This window comes from Homo sapiens, chromosome 3 (assembly GCF_000001405.40).
Source record: "Homo sapiens chromosome 3, GRCh38.p14 Primary Assembly".
In the NCBI taxonomy this organism is placed as follows: domain Eukaryota; kingdom Metazoa; phylum Chordata; class Mammalia; order Primates; family Hominidae; genus Homo; species Homo sapiens.
In genome coordinates this window covers 140,577,896-140,603,183 of record NC_000003.12, presented here as the reverse complement: position 1 = coordinate 140,603,183, position 25,288 = coordinate 140,577,896, and the positions used below count along the sequence as shown (strand labels likewise).

Genomic DNA, 25,288 nt, shown 5'->3' with positions numbered 1-25,288 from the left:
AAGACAACCACTCCCTCTAGTACCTAATGGGTGACATCACATTTCTTTCTACTGGAGCCCCCATCAGCAGCCTGGGTTCCACGTTTGACTGCACAGGCGAAATTCCCAGCTTCTGCCTGGTGAAGAAGCTGTAGGCTCAGAAGTTTGAGGAAGTGAAGGAAAAATATCAGCACTACTGAGGAAAGGAGAGAACAGTGGACTGGAAGTGGATCTAGGGCTGCACCTGACTCACAGTTACTCACTGGTTCTCTGACCTTGGGGCTTTGTCCATAGACTGATTGATTTAGCCAGAGCTGGCTGAGCACTTTTCCTGGGCCTGACACTCTGTGATCCAGCAGAGTTGCAGTGGTGACTTCAATTTGTCCCTAATTTCAAAGATCTCACAGCCTGGGAAGAAAAGCAGACATAGGCATAGATAACTATTATAATGTAATTGGCAAGTGCTGTGATGCCAAGATGTACTCAGGATATTACAGGGGCTGGGACTCTGTTAAGCCTCAACAACCTCGCATATTAAATATAGGTAATAACAATAGCGACCTCCCAAGATCATTGTGAGGAATTAATGAAATATTTAAAAATGTGTTTTCAAGCTATATGTTGTATAAGTTGCATATGAAACAGCATTCACAGCATGTTTCTGATCTCTGCTAGGCCCTAGCTGGCTTTAGGCCCATCTTTAAGAAATGGGGTATGGCTTATGACTGAATAAACTAATCATAATAATAGCTACCAGGTGCTGTGCAAATATTATACTATTTAATCCTCATAAACATCATGCAGGATCTGTACCGTTAGCCTCATTTTACCCTGGAGAAAAGCAAGACTCCTAAAAGTTATAGAACTTGTCAAGAGTCACCCAGCCAGTGAACACTGACTTTAGTGGAAGGCAGTTAGAAAGGCAGGATTCCAGGTCATTTTTTTTCCCTCTTAGTTAGACCTATGCTGGTTTTGCTGTGCTTGTGATGTTATGAAGGACCACAAACCCAAACTCCTACAGAATCCAGGCAGGTAATGTAAAAGAGGGAGGGAGCTGCGAAGCCAACTGTTAGACAAGTAGAGACTGTGGGGAACTGAGGGGCAGGGAACATGCCCTTTCTGAAGAAGTGAGCTGCTCCCTCTCCAGCCACACATGCTGTGCCAAGCAGGAGTGCCAGCTCAGTGTGGCTATTGCCCGTGATATTCCCAAAGAAGCAGAAATTTGAATTTAAAAGTGGATCTGACGGTGAAGTATCCTGATTTTTATTGTTAAATAGTTTAAAATTAGTAAAAATTTTGTGTAGGCCTAACTGAACACATTGTGGGTTTAGTTTGCAACATCTGCTCTACATAATTTTTTTTAGTGGAAGACTAAGAACCAGAAAAATTGCCATGGCTAAATTCAAAGATCTGGCATATTGTATTGCATTTTTGCACGACAGGCTATTTTAAACAATCTTGGTCAGTTACATGGATAAGGTTAAATAATGACAGATGGGGCAGGGCTGCTTCTGGGGTCTGGAGCAGTGGTTATGTGGGCTATGATCAGCTGTCTCACATTGGAGGACTGTATTCCATGTAAGTTGTCTCTAAAATACAGTACAACAAAACCCACAGGGAACTGGGAAATGGGGACAGCGGCCTGCCTTCCAGACTCTGCAGCCCGAATAAAATAGCTTTTGAAGGAGAGACAGCCATAGGGTTATTTGCCACTACTTGCAACAACTTCACTAATCAGTACTGGCCTCAGGGCTCAAAGTCAAAAAGCTAAAGAAATTGAAGGTTAAAGTTTCTGATTCAGTGAATAGAGATTTTACCTGGTTACAGGTCTATTGGTAATGCTTGTCAAAGGACAGAAATCCTTGATTTGTATATCGTAAGCTAAAGAAACCTCAACCTCATGTATTAGTTCAGGGTTCAATTGGGATGATTGGCTGTCTAGGTAGGCACAGGGTGGAGAGGTGCAAGTCACAGTGCTTAGTTGCATCCTACCACTAGTGTTCAGAATCTGTGCTGTGTCCCTGAGTACTGAGTCAGGTGCTCTGCCCGATCAAGGGCAGCACCTGTGCTGAGGGGCTGGAGATGCAGCTAGTGCTGGGATGTGGAGTTATGACACTGGCCTTCAGCATCATCTAATAAATAGAGTTTCCTGGATTAGCTCCTCTCAGTACATTTTTGGCTGCTTCTTTGGATTGCCTTCTCACATGTCAATAATTTGGCAATGTCATTGTTTATAGAGAGAATTAAATAGTAAATCAATCAATCTTCTAGTGTGGTTGATCCAAATTTGCTTTTTGTCATCAATAGTTTTGGAAATTGTTTTTCAGTTGTACACTTTATTTCCATAAATGTCACATTTGGGACAATAGAGTTGTTGTCACATTTGGGAAACTGTTAAACATAAAATTAGACAATTTAGTTCTTTATGTAATTTCTACATTCTTTGAGGCATATTTTTCTATCTTGTCATCTTTAATATTTCTGGGACTTTTAGTCAAGTCAAATTGATACACCCTTAGGAGTATCAATTTGATACTGGCCAAAGCATCTTTAAAATGCTTAAAATAGAAAAAATATAAAAAGATAATGAACAGAATCAGAAATCTTGAAAATTAAATATATTTCAATAGCTGACTGTGATTTTAATTTATGCATTATTTTGTCTCATAATTCCTGTCACTTTTACTTATAATTCTTCTCATAAGGATCCTAGACATATTTAAAGTCATCATCAGAGTGTCTATAATTTTACTCTCATCTGGAATGAATTCATATTTGATTATTTTGTCTTCCATTGCATTTGATTTCCTCATGCATTCGGAATTTGGGTCTGTAGGCTCATTTTAAGAGAGAGGTCTTGCCTCACCTCCTTATCTTCATATACATACACACACACCACACACACCACACACACACATACACACACACTGTTTTAATTAGGGTGCATTTGGCCTCATGTAAGCAGAAACCCAATCAACATTGGCTAAACCATAAGGACATTTATGATTTACTTTAGGATAAGTAAGGTTGGGTATTCCAGGGTTCACTGAGTGGTCCAACAATGTCAGGACTCAAGGTCAGTGTTTCTCCCTTTCCTTAATAGTTGCAGAGGCTGTCTCAGCTTTAGGCATACTGTTATTACCATGACAATTCTGGAGTCTTGACGTATTTGCTTTATATAGATATAGTGAGGCCAATAAAATCAGATGACTATTCATTTTAACCCATTTGGATGAGTTCGAACCTTCTTAGTGGCCTCAATGTCAGGGAAAGCTAAAGAAATTGAAGTGGAGCTTCAAGTGGATCTACTGATGCTGCAATTGTTCTCAGTCTAAGCCAGTCCACAAAAGCCACTGCATGGGAAGAAAGACCTGTGCCTTCCTTTATCATGGGGTTTCTGGCCATTCTGCCCCTGACACTGGGTGGAACAGCTGAGGCAACAGGGTACACAAAACCTATGGTTTATTTACAATGAATGGCCGCATCATTGCATGAGTCAACAGATCTGCTGCACCTAGGAAATTCCTGAGTGCTGTTGCTTAGGCACTGACTTTCCTTTACAACTTCAAGACCATTCTTTGGGATCATTATGTAGCCCTCAACATTATGAAGAAAAATTGCTTAAAGCTTGAGAATAAGGCAAAAATGCAGGCAGATATCCTTCCAATGGTTAACAGGTTCAACTGAAGATTAATTTTTAATATCTATGAGAATGTACCTGTGTCTGACCTTGCTATTCACTATTTTGGTCCAGACATTGTCAAGTTATATGCCAATTTGTAATCTGTTTAACAGAAAATAACCTCTCCCTTGCCAACCCTCAGTTGTGGTCTTACTGCCCTGTAAGACAGTGACTAGTTTTGCATCTGGCCTAGCAATCTGTTTTTTTTTTTTTAATTTTGTTTTCTTTTTCCCCTAGCAATCTTATTCAAGGGCTTACCCTATTCCTCATATACTCTTGGAAGCAGCTCTATCACCTTATTGGAATGACTTATGGTGGAAAGCATGCTCAGACCTGTCATTTCAAGCTTCTCCTCCCTTTATGTGCTCTAATATCTCATTGGCCAAAGCAATAACATCAAATTGAAGGGCAAGGAACTTCTCAAAAGGAGGTAGGAATGAAAATTAGCCAAACAGATATCTTACCTACTATAGTGGGTAAACTAGAACATTTCATTAGAAGAAAGGGCAGTGTACTCATTGTCAGATTCTTATAACAAAAATGATCATGTACTATATAAAATACAAAAATATCCAAATTGACTTATCAGCTAAAGTGCTGATTGCAAATTGCACCCCCATCAATGTGATACAGACTTAGTTGAACATAGTGGGACTAACAACTAAATTCGAGCCATCCAAACATGGTAATGCCATAAGCCTGTACTGGTATCACACAGAGAATTTCTTTTTAAATGACTGTCAGCTGTCACAATTTTGTAGGTAAACAGAGTTGTCATAACATATTCTTACAAAACTAAGGTTATACCCATGACAACAAAATCTATGATGAGACAGACAATTTGAAGCAGACAGAAGTAGGGTGCTATGGCCTGTGGTCCAAATCTGGCCTACACCTAATTTTTGCAGATAAAGTTTTATTGGAACACGGTCATGCGCATACCTTTATGTGTAGTCTGTAGTGGCTTTTGTGCGGCAATTGCAGAGATTATAGGTCTTACAAAGCCTAAAATGTTTGTTTTCTGGCCTTTTACAGAAAATACTTACTGATTGCCAATCTAGAAGAACTCCACAGTTATGATTTTTGCCTACTTTTGAGCTGCCTCTGAATAGAACACAGTCTATAAAACCAGCGAGGTGAATAGGGTGGCATAGCAAGGTTTCCTAACCCCCAGCCCATGAGCCTTCACTGAGGTGTGGAGTTGGAGTCTGCAGAAAGATTTCTAACGGAAACCCCTGCTAGGGGACCTGCTGGTAGCTTCTCGCTCCCTGTACCTTCTTAGGTTTTGTAGAAAAAAAGTTTCCTGAAGGGAAAAATGTTCTTGATACTACTAGCTCTCAAGGATTAGAAAGGTTTACCTCTGTCACACATCACAAGCTGAAAACAAGGGATGCTTATTTGAAAATGTGAAAACTCAATTTGCAGAAGTAGGGACAGGCACATGCAATGTTAGGCTGTTCTCTCCCCACTGACATTGCCAGGATTAAAAATAGCCGTTCTGTTTGTCCTTCAGCCCTGTATTGAACTGGAGCCTCCAAGTTGCATTCTCCTTAGCTTCATGCTTAATGAAGCATAATTTGTATTAATAGCAGCTATTAAATCTAGAGTGCTTAATAGGAATTTAGAGCGGAGGGCCTGAGTCACCAAGCTCCTCAAACATGGTCCCCAGAGAGCTGAGCTCAGGCCTGAACACCAGCAGCAATGAATTTTGGGCTTGGTAAGGTGAAGCAGCTGTGTTTAACAGGAGGAGAAAGGGGAAAAAGAAATGAAGAAACAGGACTCAACACCTCCAATTCAGCCTGGGGGTTTCTCAAGTTCCAGGTTCTATAATACAAGGGGGTCCCTTATTCGTATTATGTCTGCATTCCGGAAAAGATTGCTGGGTGCTGGAGAACACATGGGCTTGACAATTTTACACACTTGCATTCAGATTTAGTGCTGCTGTGTGACCTGGCTTTGGTCTCTTAACCTCTCTGAGCCTCAGTTTTTTTCTTATCTGAGAAACAAAGATAATCAAGTGGTGATAACATAATGGGAGTTACTGTGAAGATTAATGGGGGAAAGATGCATAGCAATGAAGATTGGATGTTGGGTCTGCATCTCTCTGTTTTCCCGTCCTTCTCTAAACCCAATTCTATTTTAAATACAATCTGGAAGGGTTTTCATAGAAAATTATTTTGGGAAGCCAAATAGCTTCCTTTTAGTCCTGCATTAGCAAAAAATGTCTCTGACTTGCTCAAGCTTCCCTTTAAACATTGTGTTGTTTGTGATTTGCTTTGTTGTAAATCCCCTGTTTAAATGTCTGTCTCCATCCCGACCCCATGAGCTCCTTAATGCTGTGAGAAGAAAATGTGTTTTTCTCACCTTTCACTCCCATTGCCTAGGACAGGGTCTGGCACCAGGCAGGTGTGCAGTCAGTTGTGGTTTCTGTCATCACTGCTATTTTACAATTAAGCAAACAGTGTTAAATACAGGGAGTTTTGTCTGTTTGGGTATTACCAACTGATTGCCCTTGTTGAGAGGATTGACTAGAAAAATAAAGCTCTTGGGCAGGGCTTGTGCCCTATAGTTGTTTTTACTAGAAGTATTCTATAGTATTTATTAGAGCAAGAAAAACTGAGTCTCCTTCAGTGCACAGTCGGTAGCTTATTCTGACAGTTGCACATTCAGCATGAATGTCCTTTTCTGCACTGGGCTGTGGGTGGGTCCCCATGGTAGAAGCCTGGCTCCACACATGGCTTCTGCTCAGCACTTGGGTAGAAGGAGACAGCAGCAGAATGTGAGCCTTCAAAGAAATTATCAAGTTGGGCAGCTTGCCTTTGGAAGGGAGTCCATTTGTGGCAAGCCATTACAATGTCCTAGGTCCATTTAAATATGCCCAGGAAAAAAAAAATAACTTCAACCATCCTCTAACATCCTGAAGCAGGAGAATTAACAGCCTTGCCTTGAACTCAGGCAGCCAACAGGAGAATACACACAGTGAAGGCCTGGCTATGCTAAATCAATGTGAGCTGAGCATCCTCACTGCACGTTACCTGTGCAAAGAATCAGCCATGACAGAGGATGAGAGAATTTTCCATTGCTTTAGAGAATGGTGAGATGCTTTCCATTTCATGTGCAAATCAACAAGCCTGTAGACTGTCCATAGGGCAGGAACGTGCAACATAGGATGTGATTTCAGGTGATCAATCACTTCTATGTTGGCTTAACTACAATGGCCCAGTTACAGAGGGACTCCTTGCTGGGCCATGTGCATCAAAAACAAAGTTTCTATGATTTCTTACAAAATTAAACATACTTTTACTGTATTATCTCCCAGTCATGCTCCTTGGTATTTACCCAAAGGAATTGTAAACTTACGTCCACACAAAAACCTGCACATAGATCTTTATAGTAGCTTTATTCATAGTTGCCAAAACTTGGAAGCAACCAAGATTTCCTTCGGTAGGTGAGTGGATAAATAGACTGTGGTACATCCAGATGATGGAATATTATTCAGAACTAAAAATTAATGTACTGTTAAGCCATGAAAAGACATGGAAGAAACTTTAATGTATATTACTAAGTGAAGCCAATTTTAAAAGGCTACATACTGTATGATTCTAACTATATGACATTCTAAAAATGGCAAAATTATGAAGACAGTAAAAAGATAAATAGTTTGGGAGAAAAAATGATGAATAAGCAAAGCATAGAGGATTTTGGGGGGCAGTGAAACTACTACTCTTAAGACACTATAATGATGGATCCATGTTGCTATGCATTTGTTAAAACCCATAGGATGTACGACACCTTGGTATAAACTATGGGTGGAAATGATGTGCCACTCTGGTGGGGATGTTGATGATGGGGGAGGCTCTAGATGTGTCGGGGAGAGGGTATGTGGGAAATCTCTCTACCTTCCATTCAGTTTTTCCATGAACCTCAAACTGCTCTAAAAAGTTGAAGTCCTTGAACAAACAAACAAAAAGCCAAATAAAGTTCCCAGGACATTTGCTTATCTGTGGAGTACAAGCTGTTCTGCGGTTTTGCTGACTGACTTGGCAGACTCTGAGGCAGATCCCTCAGCCCTAGGGATGTCCAAACCCTTGGGAAAGAAAGGACTCTCTGTATGTAAAGGAATAATCAGAGGCCTAAAGGGTGGCATGACTTAGGCAGTCACAGAGGCAGGGTGATAGTAACATAGCCAGCTCACTAACTCATCCCTTTCATTTACTGAGCAAGTCCAAGGTGCCAGCACAGGGCTGAGATAGGGGGTAGAAATATGAAAAAGAGTCCTCACCCACCTGGGAGTGGATCTCACTGCTATGTATCCTTTTAGTGAAAATAATATAAGATTATGAATATAGGTAAAATGTGAATATTTATTTAGCATAAGAAATTACATCAAATTTTACATTTTTAAAAGCTGAAAAATTCAGAAAAACAATCCTCTACTTGAATTAACTGACATATATCTATAGTATTTGTTATTATATTTTGATAGCATGGTCTTTGATCATCTCTTCATATGACAATGTTTTTGTGATGTTATTTTCCAAGAAGGACCAAAAGACGATTCAGTCCTTTGTCTTGTATAGTTTATCATCAAAAATTGCTTTATATTATCGAGAGCTGGGAAAAGTTTTTTATCCTCATGCATCGTTACGGTAATGTCATGTAAGAGTGAGGATTGTTGTGAATGTGGACAAAACCTCTACCTTGGATATATGAATTCTGCACTCCATCTCTTCTGCTCTTTTATTTCTTGTTTGATAGTGTGTTGATTCTTATAACCTTTTTATCCCTTCTTTTTTTTTTATCTATTTCTGTTTTTTGAATATCGTGATTCTTTCCTTATCTTCCTCTGTGCCATCAGCTTTTTAATCCATGTGACATAGGAGGTTTGGACATTGTGAAGCCTTTGCTAGTCTCTCAGTTGACATTTTTGGCTTCCACTAGGATGCTTCCTTTCTGTCATATTTGAGTTTTGCAGTGATAATTCCAAAAAATAGACAATATTATTCTGAAATTAATGCATACACAAAGGAGTTTAAATACATGTTTAACATAGTACCCTGTGAACTTACTTTTATACTACATACATTGTGTAGCATTTTTGCCAGGCTGCTTTCTTCAGATCATCTTCCTGCATTGGTGATGATTTTGTATGCTGTTTTATCTGAATCTTTCAGGTTTGGGGAAGACAAATTGTTTCAGATACACCAAGATCTGCCCTGATCCATAGGGATGTTTAAAACATGCTACTTCCCATATCGACATGTTCTCTGTTTGTAGCTTTGTTACAGGTTTGTGCCCTATAGCACAAGAATTATGACACAATTTATTTTGTGGTATTCCTATAAAAAATGTTTAAATGTGTGCCAAATTTATAATTCCATATATGACATTATTGAATATATTCCTGAGAGGCATTTTCAATCTAGATGTGGAGGAACATAGAAGTCTTTGCTAGTAATTTTATTCTTCCTGTGATTTTAAGAATATTACACAGATAAGCTTCCAGCTCTGAGCATTTTAAACTTTGCTTATCTTCCACCTCCAGGTGCTGTAGAACATGTTCATATCATAACACAATCTCTGGCCCTGCACTTTTGTACATGATACTGGAGGGGTCTGTGCAGTAGACAGTAAGAATATTCCACGGAAGTTACTGTGAAGCGCTTTTGTAAAATACCCCCACTGACCCCAAATTAAACCTATCCCACAGCCACTTCAGTGTACCCCACGTGAAAGGAAGTGACATAGAGGGGAAGTCAGGTAGAAAAAGATGGCATTTTTAATGGGTTGTGTTTGAATCTTTTTGACAAATCATATGACCATGAGAAGACATTGTTGACGATTGTGTTCTCACTGATTGAGGACATTGTTGTGGCCCCTCTAAGAGCCCTGGGAAGGAGCTGGGCAAGTGAGGAACCTGAAGCTCGGGCATCCTCAGATTCATGGAGAATCTACCTCTGACACTGCCCATAGAAAGCTCATAGAGTTGGGAGTGAGGAGGATAAATAGGCTAGTAGACAGGCAATGACAGGGTGATTCTATCTTTCCACTTTAGGGAAGCACAGGGAAGTGGAACATCAGAGAGGAGAAGCCTGGCTCAACTTGGCAGAGAAGGCATCTTCAGAGAAGGAGTGCCCACACTGACACCTGAATGATGACTAGTGCTTAACCAGATGAACTGGATGAGAAAGGCATTTCAGACACAGGGCATAGCATGAACAAGGGTCCAGAGATGAGGGTGCAAGCAGAGTCCAGGGTGCACAGGGAGTTCAGTACAGCTGGAGCTCAGATGCTAGGGAGAGGAGTAGGGAGAAAAGAGGCTCCATTACAAAAATGTAGGCATGAGATCAAAGGGAACCTGGAGTACTATGCTAAGGGGACTCAATCCTAGGTGATGGGGAGGCATTGAAGGATTTAGGTGAGATTGGCATTTAGGAAGCTCACTTGAAGCAGTGTTGAATGGGTAGGAGTGGGGTAAGACTGGAGCTGGTGCAGCAATATGGGTGAGTGTAGCTGTGTGTGAAAAAAGGTCCGAGTTTAATGGGAAAACTAAGGAGTGTGGGGTGGGAGGAAACTTGATGAGAGAGGATTTCCAAGGATAATATTCTAGATGTGTGGGTTGATGACAATGCTGAGAGCAGGGACAGAGGAAGAGAAGCAGGCTTGCTGGGGGGAAATGATGAACTTCTTGAGGTTCTTACCAGACACCTAAGTGGAGATGCCCTTTGGGTGCCACATGCGCCCACACTGCTGATAAGGGATCTGCATAGTGGGGGGAGATTTGGAAGTCAATGAAGCCACAGATAGGGATGAGCTTTTCAAAGAAGAGTGTGTGGAGTGAAAGGGTTAGGGACATAGAACCAAACCCTGAGACCCACTCCACTGAAGGCAAAGAAGAGGAGGAGTATACAGAGAACACAAGGAAGAAGTGGTCAAAACGTAGAAGGAAGATTGGTCTCCAGGGGTGGGGGGGGGGGGTCCTGAATTTGAGCATGATTTTTAGTGCACAATAGATCCCACAGAGCTTTCAAGAAACACTTGGTGGTTGGTGAAGACCCAAATAATGGTGAGTGTGTTTTACATTTTAGAGTTCCAGGTAATTTTCCTTCTTGGTATCATCTGGTTATGGTATATAATTTGGAGGAAAAAACTACTTTCATTCACTTTTTATTTTTCCTCAGAAAGACTTGAAGAAATACAAAACCATAGGACTTTTGGTATGTGATGGAGACATTCCATACAATTAGTACAGAACATAGACAAATGGAAAATATTGTGTTTTGCTTGAAATTATCTCTGTGGACTAAAATGTAAACCTAGATTTTGCATATGCATGTGTATTTATTAATGACATTATTTAACTCTCATTCTAGATAGTTTTGTGTTGAACTCTATTTAGATGAGTAGAGACATACTAATTATCTCAGTTAATTAGCCAAAATAAATCTACATAGTTTAACACATCAAAGATTTATTTTCCACTCATGGTTTATATTTACTATGGGTCAGTGGGAGTTATGCTCCACATGATTACTCAGGGATTCACTCTGACATGGGTCCACCGTATTTTTTTTTTTTTTTTGAGACAGAGTATTTTTAGTAGAGACGGGGTTTCACCAAGTTGGCCAGGCTGGTCTCAAGCTCCTGACCTCAGGTGATTCACTCACCTCAGCCTCCCAAAGTTCTGGGATTACAGGTGTGAGCCATTGCCAGGCCCACCATCTTAAAACTGCACCATCCTCAGCAGGGGAAAAAGAGAGATGCTGTATCACATCCTGTCTCTGCAATGCTTTGTCTGGGAAGGGGCACGTACCGCTTTGATCCACAGCACATTGGCCAGGACTAAGCATGCAGTCTCATCTAATTGCATGGAGGAGCACAATTCCTCCATGGCAGGTGGTACAGTTCTCTGCCACACTCGATATTGTATAAATCCAGGGTCCCAGAAGATAGAAGGCAGCAAAATATAAGGAAATTAATGATACCTTACAATTAATATTAACAGTATTACCAAAATACTTTTCTTAAAAATTATGTAAACCCAGTGTGCATCTATATAATTTTACAATATCTAGTTTCATTAGAAGCAATTTATTTTTTAAAACCCAGTTCTTTGGATTTAGAAATATTATTTGTAATATTGTAATACCACATTAACATTACATTTATATATTTTCCAGTATCAATTTAATTAAGAGTAACTAGACTGTATTTTATTGTTGTTTTTATATGAAAATAAGTATAAAAATGTAGAAAATTGCAGTCATAAAAAGTTTCAGCTACTTTGCCTCTGCCATAAAACCTAATCTTGGTATAATTAAAATATGTCATGATATATTTCTATCTTTGCTTTCTGTAGAAACTGTGCAAATGCTAGACAGATAAATCACACAGTCACTTATAAAGAATTGAATTTCAACAAAAAAAATTACCAATAGATGTTTTTTTCTTATTTCAGTTTATAAGGAAATTGCTAGACTATGAAAAGTTAAATTTCCCAGTTTTATTATACAATATGTTTTTATTTCTTTTGAACTAAAGCATTCAATAAAAAGTTCCCAAGTTTGAAATTACCAATCATTTAGAGAGAATAAAGCTCATGTGTAAGATTTGTTTTCTTAGAAGACAAGTTAGGGAATAGTTCTGTTTTCTTTTCTTGGCTCAGATTCTACAACTTCATGGTGGAAATTTTATCCTTGAACTTCTAATGTCATTTTATGTTTATCTTAAGTTTCTATTTTTATACTTTAGTATAATTTTAGAGTGTTGCCAGTTTCATAGCATATTAATTACTTTCTTTTTAGAAGATTATATTTAAAAATAAAATTAGTAATTAAAGCACAATTTGATTATAATAGCATTCTATTTCCTGATTTTGAATTTATCATGAAATTGATAAAAATTATAACTTGCAGCTGTTTACAAACACTTGTATATATTACACTTTTTCCTAGTTAGGACATATTTATTTCTCAAGCAGACTTTTAAAAAATGTTTTTATCTTTAAAAAAAAAAAAACTTTGAGGTTCAGAGTTACACGTGCAGGTTTCTTATATAGGTAAACTTCTGCCACAGGAGTTTGTTGTACAGATTATTTAGCCACCTGGGTACTAAGCCCAGTGCCCAGTAGTTATTTTTTTCTGATCTTCTCCTTCCTTCCAGCCACCTCTTTGTGTCCATGCGTTCCCATCATTTAACTCCCACTTACAAGTGAGAACATGCAGTATATGGTTTTCTGTTCCTGTGTTAGTTTGCTAAGAATAATGGCCTCTAGGCTCTATTCATGTTCCTGCAAAAGACATAATCCCTTCCCCTTTTTTTTTTTTTGAGACAGAGTCTTGCTCTTGTCACCCAGGCTGGAGTGCAATGGCATGATCTGAGTTCACTGCAACCTCTGCCTCCCAGGTTCAAGTGATTCTCCTGCCTCACCCTCCTGAGTAGCTGGAATTACAGGTGCCCTCCACCACACCCGTTTAATTTTTTTAATTTTCAGTAGAGACTGGGTTTTGCCATGTTGGCCAGGCTGGTCTGGAACTCCTGACCTTAGGTGATCCACCTGCCTGCCTCAGCCTCCCAAAGTGCTGGGATTACAGGTGTGAGTCACTGCGCCCAGCCCAATCTCTTCCTTTTTTATGGCTGCATAGTATTCTATGGTGTATATGTACCAAGTTTCTTTTTCTTTTTCTTACTTTTTTTTTTTTTTGAGATGGAGTTTCCCTCTTGTTGCCCAGGCTGGAGTGCAGTGGCACGATCTCAGCTCACTGCAACCTCCGCCTCCCAGGTTCAAGTGATTCTCTTGCCTCAGCCTCCCGAGTAGCTGGGATTACAGGCACACGCCACCAGACCTGGCTAATTTTTGTATTTTTAGTAGAGACAGAGTGTCACCACATTGGCCAGGCTGGTCTCGAACTGCTAACCTCAGGTGGTCCACTTTCTTTATCCAATCTGTCATTGATGGTCATTTAGGTGATTCCATGCCTTTGCTATTGTAAACACTGTTGCAGTGAACATACATGTGCATGTGTCTTTAAGGTAGAATGATTTCTACTCCTTTGGGTGCATACCCAGTAATGGAATTGCTGGGCCAGTGGTAGTTCTGTTTTTAGTTCTTTGAGGAATCACCACACTGTCAAGCTGACTTTTTAAAAGAAGTTTTAAAAAATACACTTTTATAAATAGAGTTTTAGATTTTCAATTTCATATTTTATGTTGGATATTCAGGAGAAACCCTTACTTATCAGACAATCTTTTTTCCCCCTCAACTTAATTTCTGAATATCATTTTAAAACTATACATTTAAATTACTTTACAAGACATTTATATAAATTATAGAACACTAAGCTCATGGCTTTCTCCACCATCCCCACTTTTTTAAGAAAACAGAAGTCCTTGTATTTGAAATTGTGCAGAAAGATTAACATGGTATCAGGAATCTGTTTTTCTGCAAATAATAGAAAACCAACTAACACTGACTAACAGATTATAAGAAGTAGGGTAGGGTTGGTGGGTAGCAGGGAGTCCAGGCTGTTCCTGTGGCTCGGCAAAGCCACCAGAACCCAGCTCCTTTAAATCCCTCTGTTTTGTCACCCTCAACATGCAGACTTTCTGGCTCAGTCTTGGTGTGCCTTATGGTTATGAGGTGGCTGCTGCCCTTCAAACCTCTCATCCATGGTCCAGGTAGAAATAAGGAGGAAGGGGGAAAGCAAAAGGCTACCTCTCAACAAAGCTTTCTTTTATATTTCAGACAAAACATCTTCGTCAGGGCCACTCACATCTTATTGCCAGACTGAATTGAATCACTATGCCTAGCAGCAAGGACAGCAGGGAGGCTGAATAGTTTGAATTGTTTTGTTAGTAAGAAAGTGGAAATGGATACTAAATAGGCAATTAGGGTTATCTCACGAACTTAAGTGAGTTAAAATAAAGCCACTTGTATAATTAAAAACTTAATATAACCGTATATATTTGACCAGCACATTAGAAATATTGGATTTTTATTCATAAGTGGCCTCATTTTAGCTTCCACCCCTATAAAGAGAGCCACATTTGAATATTTCTCACCTGGGTATTTCTTATTATTTTTTAAAACGACGTTTGATTATTTAAGAAATAAAATGAGGAGTACTCTTTTGGTTAATTCCTGAGGTAAGCAGGCAGATGTAACAGATCTGATTAAGGAAATGCAGAAACCTAAACACACAAATCCAAGTGTATACAATGGTTACTAGATGATGAAATGTTACATCTCTTAGTTTTGTCCTATGACATGTTTTAATTCTTTTTTAATTTCTTTACATGAACTTGCTCCTATAAAGTCCAAAGCAAGTGTTCCTGATTGGCACATAGTGCTTTTCCAACTGGTTCCATCTCCTGGCTCTGCCATCTTTGACACATGGCTTCCAAGGCTGCATGTTGATCTGCATACCTTCCACCTCATCATTCATCCTCCATTTCCTCAACTCCTTGTACTGCAAATGCTGCTATAACAAACATGCCCATTTACCATGTGCATTTGAGAAAACTTCCCTGGGGGTTGTTCAGAAGGGAATTTCTGGGTCCTAGTTAATGGTGCTGGGTTGCTTTCCAGCATGGCCGCCCCAGCCCCTGCCTGTGTTCCCACCAATAGTGCACAGCGGTTCCAAGTTCCACCAACTTTGATGCTATCCAGCTCTCTAGTTTTGTCAATCTGATGGGTCTGTAATGTCAGATTTTGGTTTAAATTTGCATTTCTAGAATTAATGAGTTTGAGAAATCTTTATATGCTTTTTAGCATCTTGAGTTTTCCCTTCAGTTAATTGTTTGTTCATTTTATTTGCCCATTTTTCTATTGGGTTCTGAAAAAAAAAATTTCTGATCTCTTTTTAGCTGATAAACAAGTCTCATATATAGATTTTCATAATTAGAATTTAAGCAGCCCTCTCTGAAGTGTGGATTCCTGTTCAAAATATTTCAAGTGTTAACTAACCATTTCTCCTTATTCTCTCTCTCACATATGTACGATGCTATTTATAATGAAGTAAATTTGAAGAAATTATCACTTTAATTATGTAACAATCTGTCTAGTTAGTTTTTAACTAAGGATTTCTTTGGAGTAGTTAATTTAGTTTTAAACTATCACTGTTTTCTTTATGCCTACTATAAATCTTTTACCATCTAAATGCACAAAAACATACAGTTTTTTTTTTTTTTACCATTTCTGGGGGTTAAAACTCTCATCTTATAGTAAATTAAACCTATTAAAAAACTAAAGAAGGTGGGAGGTCTGGTTTTCTTTCTTCTACCTGCCTCGCTCCCTCTCTCCCTCCCTCTCTCTCTCCCTCTCTCTCCATCTATCCCTCCCTTTCTCCTTCCCTCTTTCCTTCTCTCTCTCACTCTCTGGTGTGTTAGTCAAAATAAGAGCCTTGGAAATTTGGAGCTCTATGATTTTGGGGATGTTTTTAAGGTGTACAATGTTGTCTAAAGCAGAATATCGCATTTGAGGGAAATATTTTTTTATCCCAGAGAACATAAAGGCTCTATAGCCATAAGATATCCACACAAACTGCACCATTATCCTGGTTGACGTGGGGCTTCCTTGGACTCTCCATTCATACTTAGCCTCTCACCCAGGAGAAGAACATCCCCAGACTAGTCTGCCTTAGCTCTCCCCAGGAGATGTTTACGTCAGGGGAAAAATACATTCAAACCCATCTGTCTTGTGTTAAGATTTCACTGTATACAGACGAGATCCTCCAGAGGTCCTTATTTCAGAAGTCCAGCTTGCCTTCATGATGGGCTTACAGTGCAGGCTGAGCATGCACCTTCACCCCCAGAAAAATCTGGAGGTTCCACCTAAGCCAGCACACGGTTCTGAAACTGTTACCTTAAATTTCTGTTTTCAACTAGAAGTGCCTAGTCCTTAATAATACACCTGGGGAGACAAACTCATCAACACCACCTTTATCCTTGAGTCTAGACAAAATATTTACATTTTTCTGGCCTGAATCTGGCAGCCAAACCTGTTCAGGCGAGCTGGACACACATACAGATTGCACATTTGTGGAAACCTTCATTAGGGTTTCCTAGTAGCAAGTCATCTGTCCCGTGGCCTCTCTGTCAAACAGTCTCTCTGTTGGAGGCACCTCATAGTGGAAGAACCAGCTTCTAGTATTTGGGCCAAAATCTGTTAGAAGCAGGCTTTAATGATAGAATTCTAGCTACTGTTGAGAGACGGAGTACACAGAGGGCCTTTTTAATCAAAGTACTCTCCTACCAAGTGACAGAGTTAACATATTTTTATAAAGTGCAAATTACTTTATCGTTTATTAACAGAAGGAAAGGATACAATGCAGTTTTCCCATTCCTTAAACGCCTTGTCAGAGGAAGCTTGTGGCTGCTCATCACTAGTGAGGCAGATAAATAGCTACATTTTTCAGAAGGCCGCCTGCTCATTGTGGTCACTTCTCACTTTCCAGCTGCCTTACCCACTGCTTAGCTACATCTGTTGGATGTGTAGGCGAGCTCTGGAATGCAGAATTCCACATAGGCAAGGAATGGTGTGGATGTGTCTGTTATATGTAGGTTATAGCCAGCTCATTAACAGTGCTGGGAGCCATGCAGTGGGTTTCACTTTTATCTTGAAGTCATGAAACTCTTAGTAGATTTTGAGCAGGGGAGCAGCATAATCCTGAGTGATAAAATTTGAGCCCATTTGGAAAGATCCTCATGCCTACTCTACACACTCACTGATTGTCTTTCAGGTGGCTCATCCAAGCTGAGACATGGTGTTTCAAGAGGTGAAACCACAGGGAAAGTTTGAAATGAAAGTCATATGGGAAGAAAGGGAGAGAAGCAAGTTGGAAATCTTTCTAGATCACCATCCCGTATTGGTACCCATGCCTCAGTTTATTTCTGCTGGAGAAGGTGATGCTAGAAGCTCAGGTTCTCTGTCCTCTCCATGATCCTGTGAGCTGTCTAATATCCCTCCATAAAAGCCTGCTGTCTTAAACTAGCTAAAGGTGACTTTCTTGTTTGTATCTAAGAACTTTCACCAATACACATCGCTTTCTCCCTCTCTCTCAACTTACTCTTCACTTCTTTAGGGTAATGTAAATTTAAAGTAATCAGGTTTTCCTGATTATGGCACTTCACCCTATTATAGAGGCTCACAGCTCCAGATGTTTCTCCTTTATAGTGCTTATTGTAAGTGCAGTTATATACTTATTTATAGGATTATTTAATAATCCTTTCTTTCCACTAGAGTGGAAATTCAGTGAGGGCAAGAACCTGGTGCTGTAGGTGTCTCTGGTGCTTAGCACAGGGTATGACTCACAGGAGGAACAGAGTTACAGTAGTTGCAGAACATCTTTGGCAATGAATAGTTAATGAATAAGGACTTCAGGTTGCTCTATGTTTCCAGGGTTCTTGTGGGTCTCAGGGCATGGAAATGGTCAGAGATCTTGAGGATGGTGTTACTGCTCTGGGAGAGTAGATTGATTTTCCCTTATTTCTAAGTCTGTATTTCCACATAGTTTGCGCTCCTGCTGTTTTTTAGTCTCTCTCTGGCTTTTCATAAAAAACACTCATTTTATTTTTGGAACAGTACTTGTATAACCAGGGCTTTTCAGTTCCTATCTGGTGTGTGTTTGGGGACTGATTGTAGCTCAAAGTGCTAAAAAGGAAAATGGCATTTGTCACTGGGTTGTAGTACTGTACACTCTGCTTTCTTAAAAGCCACATTTTACTCTTCAAGGCTGATTATTCCCTAGTGGTTTGGGTAGACGTTTGGCTCAGGGATACAACCACAGTATTCAGAATGTGACATCTGTGATGGAATCTGGGCTCTGCCTCTCACCACCTGTATGACCTTGGACAGGAGACCTAATATTTCTGGAACTCAGTTGCTTCATTAAAATGAGGATGAAGATACTTTCATGGTTGCTGGAAGGATTAAATAGAAAATACTAGTGAAGTCCTGATCCAAAGTAAATACTCAGCAAATCTTTGTATAATACATCTCCATGCCCTTTCTTTTTCCCCTCTTTCTCAAAATAATCTGAGGAGGCCACCCATGGAGAATTTTATCTAGGCTCGACCCCAGAATCTCTGAATGAATGAGTGAATTAACTCAGTGAATGAAGAAAGGAAGATTTGAATGAATGATAATGTGAGCCATACAATTCATTACTAAAGGATGCTGGGACAGTAGTGGTGACAGTAATTATTTAGTGAGTGCCCAAAGGCTGGACTTTGTGGCAGGCAGTTTACAGAAATTATCTCATGTAACTATTGTAAGAGTCCTTTAAGAAAGTTACCATAGTCACCATTTTACAAATGAGGAAACAAAACCTCAGTGAAATTGTCACATAACAGTGGTGCCATGACTAGTAAGTGGTTTTACTAAGGTGTCATGAAAATAGAAGGCCACAGATATGTATGTGTGTGCGTAGATGTATTTGTGGGTATATGTATATATGTATCACACTCATACATACATGTGTAGTATTTATCTTAGTCTCCCCAAAATAGTAGTCATCCAGGACATGATTGTACAGTTATTGAGTGACTATAAATGTTGGTGGTGATTGGAAGAGTAAAGGCAGATAAAGTGAAGGGTAGAACAGGAATGGTAGCTTTGACAAGGTAGCCTTGGGAAGGGGAACACAAAGGCAATTGACAGAGGGCTTTTGGGGCTACCTTCCTGTTCTTTAGAGATGAGAGACCTGGGAGAGTTTTCTGAGCCTCTGAGTAAGGCAAGAAGGTTCACAGATCCCAGGATCCAAGGCTGCAGGGCTAGTATCCAGCAAGGGCACTGATGAAACCATTGGGCACGTGTGTACATCTTTGCATGTAGTGAATTAAGTGATGTATGTCAGCATCCAGAGCTTTCCCTCTTAAGGGCTTCCAAGTAGCTTTATAGTTGTAATAACACTGGAAACACATGGAATATTGACACCCAGTTTTTGAGTGACATGAAGCAGACTGTCTTGAGTGGACATATAGATTGAAAGCACCAGTTTAAGTTGGATGGGGATCCTGTATGGCCCTGAACCCTGGTATCACATAGCCTTGGATTATTTGTCTTTCTGTGTTTTATTTCCTCATTCGTAGATGGAGATATAAATGTGTTTATCTGATACAATTTTTGTGAGGTGAAGATGAAATAATGTATGTAAGGCACAGCACAATTCCTGGCACCTAGTTAGTGCTTAATAAAGTACATATATTTATAATGATTCCCATGAAAAATTTGTTACAGGGAAAAACATTTGTAAGCCTTAGTCCATTCAGCTTTAGGATCACTAACAAGACACAGAGGCTCTTTGGAAGGTTTGTACCTTGGTTTATTTTGCTAACATATTCTGGTCCTAGTTTAGTGGGACTGACCCAGAGTGAGCTTTAACCCAGGCTGTTAACACTCTGGACAACTAGTGAAGAGGAAGAGAGAAGGCATTTCCCAGGGCTGCCATGTGCCACTCGGGGTACTGGGCCTTGAGGACAGTGTGGAGTCCTTTGTCTTTGGCCATTTCCCTTCCATGCCTGAGCATTGTGGGGTTGGAGACACCAGCCATCTTCCAGCCTGTGGTGTCGACACTCAGGTGGTCAGCACCAGTCATGGCTGCCATCACACCTGTGCACCAGCATCCTCTAGTCAGCTGCAGTGTCTGCATACTTGGCCTCCATAACTTTTCTCAGCTTTTGAAATAGGCTGATTGAACCTGAGATCAGACCTTCCTGAGCAAGGTCAAGAGGGTACAAACGGGGAGGTAAGGCATATTAAATGGGTAGTCAGAGTAGACAAGCCTTGAGGGAAATGGAGCAGGTTCTTCATCCTAGAAGTCATATTAAATGGATGCTTAATTGTCTAATTCAGGATGGTTCTCCGGAATGAGGTACTAACAAGGGGAAGAACCCTACATCTTGGCTCCAGGTCCTTATCTCAGACTTAAGGTCACAGTTCCTGAAGCATGTTGGAGTGAATGCTGGTCCCAAAAATGTTTAAGGAGGTAAAGGGTTCCATAGTCAAATTGGTCTGAGAAACACTTGCCTATTGCCTTAGATGATTTGCAGTAAACATCCTGAAAATTCCTAGAATAAACAAAACCTGTTCAACCCATTATTTTCAAGAACAGAACTTTTCAGGGAGCCTTAAAAAATCGCATCAATTGAAGAATATTCTATGTGCTCCATGCAGTGCACATTAGGAAAATCAGGCTCAAGGGCTTCTTGAACTGAAGCAGTCAGTGGGGAGTTATTTCTTGTGTCTTCCCAGCCCTGTTCCTTCTTTCAGTGAAGGTTCTCTGTGTCTTCTTTGAGCAATGCTCCTCCCCTCTCCCCTGCACCATCTGTCTCCCAGATATTTGTTCTTGGTGGTGAGGAGAGAGGGAGGCTGTCAGACATGGACCCTAGTCCCATGCATAGCCCCAGGGGCTGTACCTGACACAGGGAGGGCCAAAGCAGTGCTTAATCAAGACTTTGAGCCAGTACCGAGGAGAAGAGCACTTCCCTTTCTGAAGTTATAGCAGACAAAATGTGAGCTTGAGAGCTGCCATCTACTACAGAACCCACCTAGTAATAAAAATTGGTTAGAAAAAACCTGCCAATATGCAAAAAGGGCAGACATGAGGGGCACCTAGTTAGGGCCTAATAAATGATATAGCATAAAATGTTGATATTAACACATAAATAGTATACAATATAATTATGTAATTAATATATAATTATGTAATTTAATTATATAGTATAATATGTAATTTAATTACCTAATATACACCGTATAATTATATGTTTATATAATATAGAATGATTTAGGTCTTGCTAAGGTTAATATATATTATATATAATTTATAAAATTATATAATGTATTATTACAATATATACAATACCAAACATATATAATTTTATATAGTTATATAAAATATAGGTGTATATATATATATATCTCAATAACCTTAGCAAGTCCTAATTGTATGTAAGCACATAATATGTAAGTATGGAATTATATATGGTTATGTACAATGATTAGTTAGATTTATGTAATGATTTAGATATTAACCACCTTAGCAAGTCCTAAGCTTTTCGTCATCAGTGAGGCCCAGCCACACCTCAGCTCTTGTCACTTTTGGGTTATGAGAGCGAAAAATACATATCCTTTTGCTTAGATTTGTCCAATTTGCCACCAAAAAGAATCCTGATGAACACAGGCAGTTTCTACAGGGGCCCCGCCCTCCACCGAGCTGTCCACATTTCCAGCTTGGCTTTAAATAGGGCAGTACTGAGTCTAGAGAAGATTATAAAATTCACAACAAATTCCAAAAGGAGAGCAAACAGGAGCACTAGGGGTTGGGCCTCTTTTGAAAATTTTCTGTTCTTCTAGGTGGGGTCCTGATATTGTCAACTCTCCTCTATTTCAGGCCTCGTTTCATCTCTCCCAGCATTGCTCTTTTCCTCTCCTCCCCCTGCTCCCTGTACCCTGGCTGTGTCTCATTTCTCAGTCATGAAAAGTCAGGAGGTGGCCACATGGTTTGTGGTTTGTGATGGAGGAAAGGTAGCTGAGTTACTTGTCCTTTCTGCCCTCCAGGCTCCTCTGTCTTTTGGAGCATAGTCAGTTTACAGCACTCTGTCTCTCCATTCTGGTTCCTTCTCCCCACAGAGTCTTCAGTGACTAAGCCTCACTTAATGTAACCAGCAGCCCCCATTCAAGTTATTTAGCTATTAACAGAGATTACAGTCATCAATGAAAGTGGCAGCATTTTATCCCTGGTTGTGTGAAGGAGGTTTTCATGTAGGTCATGAGCCTTCCCAATACTAGATTGAGTCATTAGGAAGGTGGCAGGCTTATTTGTTCATGGTTAAAGGTGCTCTTGGGTTTTTCTTGATATCTGATCTTTAAACAGTGATGTGAGCTAGAGCTGGCTCCCAAAAGCCAATGGTAGCATCTCTTTCCAACTCTGAGCTCAGTGACATCATGTTGATGGCTTAAAACCAGCCATGGTGGTACTTGCACCATGGGAATCAACACTTTACAAATTAGACCTGCCCCAACCCCAAAGGGGGTTGTTAACCATTTACCAGCACACCACTGCCGAGATGCTCACATGGCTAATCTTTGCTTTTACCATCTCTGTCCTTCTGCCACACTTGCAGTGGCATTTATGAGTACCCATCACCTACAAGACCCAATCACCTAAATTGAGGGTGTTGGGACAATTTTTTTTCTGGTTAATCTGACACACCTGGTCCATGCTAATATAGTTTAGAATAGAGGCTGCAACCCAGTTGCCCATGTATTAAATTCAGCCTGACAACTTATTTTACTTGGCCCCTGTAACATTTGTTTAAAAAGTGAATTTCCTGCCCCAATTTTAAATCGGGTAGATTTCACATGGAAAATCTGTGTTTTTGACTTCTCTTAAAAGAAAAAAAATCAGAAGATCTGGCAATAATTGGCAACCATCCTTGTACTGAGACAGTTGGCTGAAGCTGAGGTACAGCAAGCCCTCTGCACTTGCCATGCATTTTTCTTTTCACCCTAGTCCCACTCAGGCAGCTGTATTCACTTATGCTACCTGCCTTACCTCTGCAGGTGTTTGAGTTTGGTTTAGAGCAACATGTTCTATGTCTTGTTCTCCCCACCTGCCACTAGAAGGAACTTAACAATAAGACAGGACATGGTCCGGGGGTGCATAGAATGGTAGGATTACATTCCACTGGGGAAATCAAGCATGGCCTCACTGATAAATAGCTCTGCAACTCTGAAGTGAGACCTCCAGTTAGGGATAAGATTTTCATTGTGTAAGACATGTAAGGAGGGATGACATTCCAGGTATCAGGAGTAGCAGGAACAAAAGCGTTGGAGATGGGAGTCTCCATGTGCTTTGGGACTGCCATGTGCTTTGAGAATGCCAAGACCTAGGATTTGTGCTGGGCAAGTGGGCAATAAAAGGATGAAAACTTAGGTTGAGGCCAGGTCATTTAGAACCTTGGATTTGAGGTTTAATTCAATTCTGTATAATAAATTATTTCTGAGCCCTTGCTATATCCCAAGCTCTCCACTAGAGCATGAACCCAGATATGATTGTGATAACACCTCTGTCCAGGACTTTTATCCATAGTTTATACATTTGTTTTTGTTGTTGTTTTGAAGTTTTTTGCCATGAACCTCTACCAAGTTTATTCAAGCCAGATAAACTAGTATTTTTTCAGGATAAAGAGTATAGTTTATTGGCCCCCTAGGGACTGGGGAATCCTTAGAGCACCAGGGACTTTGCTTTGAAAGTATAAGTTACTGGAAGTCTCTGTGGCTTGTCAGCCTGAGGGGCACCTCCCACTGCAACTTCAGCAATGTTAGCCCCATGGCACGTACGTAGTCTGGAAAGATGGAAGCCAGGGAGGAGGCTGCTGTGGTGGCTGAGGGATGAGGAGATGCTTTTAAAAGAGATGAGAAGGAATAGACACAGAAAGGCAATGAAGAATCTATCAGACAGCAAGAACACAGGCCAGAATTGTTTGGAGAGTAAGAGAGTGGTGCGAACTGTCAGAAATTTGGTAGTTAGCTGCTACATTGAGCACCAGGGAAGCCCAAAAATAGGTGTGTGTGTGTGTGTGTGTGCACGCACGCGCGCATGTACACATGGAAGTTACCAAGGTATAGTGTGGAAGGACTACCAAACCGATGAAGGCTTCTTAGTTTCCTTGTTGACTCTCTGAGATGTAAAAGAAAAATTATATTTCCAGTTGACAAACATTGGGCAGAAAAAAAATCTTATCTTAATGTTTAGAAGAAAAATTCCTATTAGGGTGTGAATGATCTATATTTGGGAACAAATCTTGATTAACTGCTTGGGGTAGGAGGACGAGTATGGCTTTTGGCAGGAGACCAGGCAATGAAGAAAAGATGATGATGCTGCTCTTTAAAGAGAAAAAAAAAGAGGCTGGGCGTGGTGGCTCATGCCTGTAATCCCAGCACTTTGGGAGGCTGAGGCGGGTGGATCACGTGAGGTCAGGTGTTCAAGAACAGCCTGACCAACGTGGCAAAACCCCTCCTCTACTAAAAATTCAGAAAAATTAGCTGGATGTGTGGTGGTGCGTGCCTGTAGTCCCAGCTACTCGGGAGGCTGAGGCAAGAGAATTGCTTGAAGCCAGGTGGTGGAGGTTGGCAATGAGCCGAGGTTGTGCCACTGCACTCCAGCCTGGGTGACAGGCTTTAAGAGAGACTCCATCTCTCTTAAAAAAACAAAAAACAAAAAACAAAAACTCACTTTTTACATCTGAGAAGGATGAAGAGAGATGAGAGGAGGGAGAGAAGGGAGTGGGGAGAGGGCAGGAAGATGGCACATGGCTGGGGAGGCTGGCCAAAAGGAGTCCAAAAACAAGAATGTCGATTGTGATATGTAGCTGTTTGCCATATCCTGGGCAAGTGATTCATCTTCATGACCCCAACACTTCCAACAATACTTTGTTTGAATTTTCCCTGCTGCCCTGAGGAATTCAAGCAAAAGATAGGGTTTTGTATTGGGTTGGCCCAATACAAAACAGGATGGAGGCTGCAGTAACCACAACTTGCAGAATCCTAGGGAAGCGCTCTGGATCTCTGCCAGCTCTCGATGGCAAAGGGAGCCCGTCTTCAGTGGGCTTTGGGGGAAAGGG

At 40.4% G+C, this 25,288-nt stretch overlaps 1 long non-coding RNA gene across 1 annotated transcript in view, besides 1 other annotated feature; it reads left to right on the top strand.

The window, feature by feature from the left end:
* The window catches only part of LOC102724068 (uncharacterized), a 96,106-nt gene extending 74,820 nt beyond the window's left edge, over positions 1-21,286 (top strand). Inside the window, exon 3 of the long non-coding RNA XR_007096116.1 lies at positions 9,717-21,286. This is a non-coding gene — a long non-coding RNA (uncharacterized LOC102724068). The remainder of the gene's footprint in view (positions 1-9,716) is intronic.
* Positions 14,157-14,746: an enhancer, noted in NCBI's record as "OCT4-NANOG hESC enhancer chr3:140307280-140307869 (GRCh37/hg19 assembly coordinates)". NCBI's record gives its function as "activates a minimal SCP1, AML or CMV promoter by ChIP-STARR-seq in naive H9 embryonic stem cells {active_cell/tissue: H9 hESC(naive)}" and the evidence as "EXISTENCE:reporter gene assay evidence [ECO:0000049][PMID:30033119]".
* Positions 21,287-25,288: the final 4,002 nt, after the last annotated feature.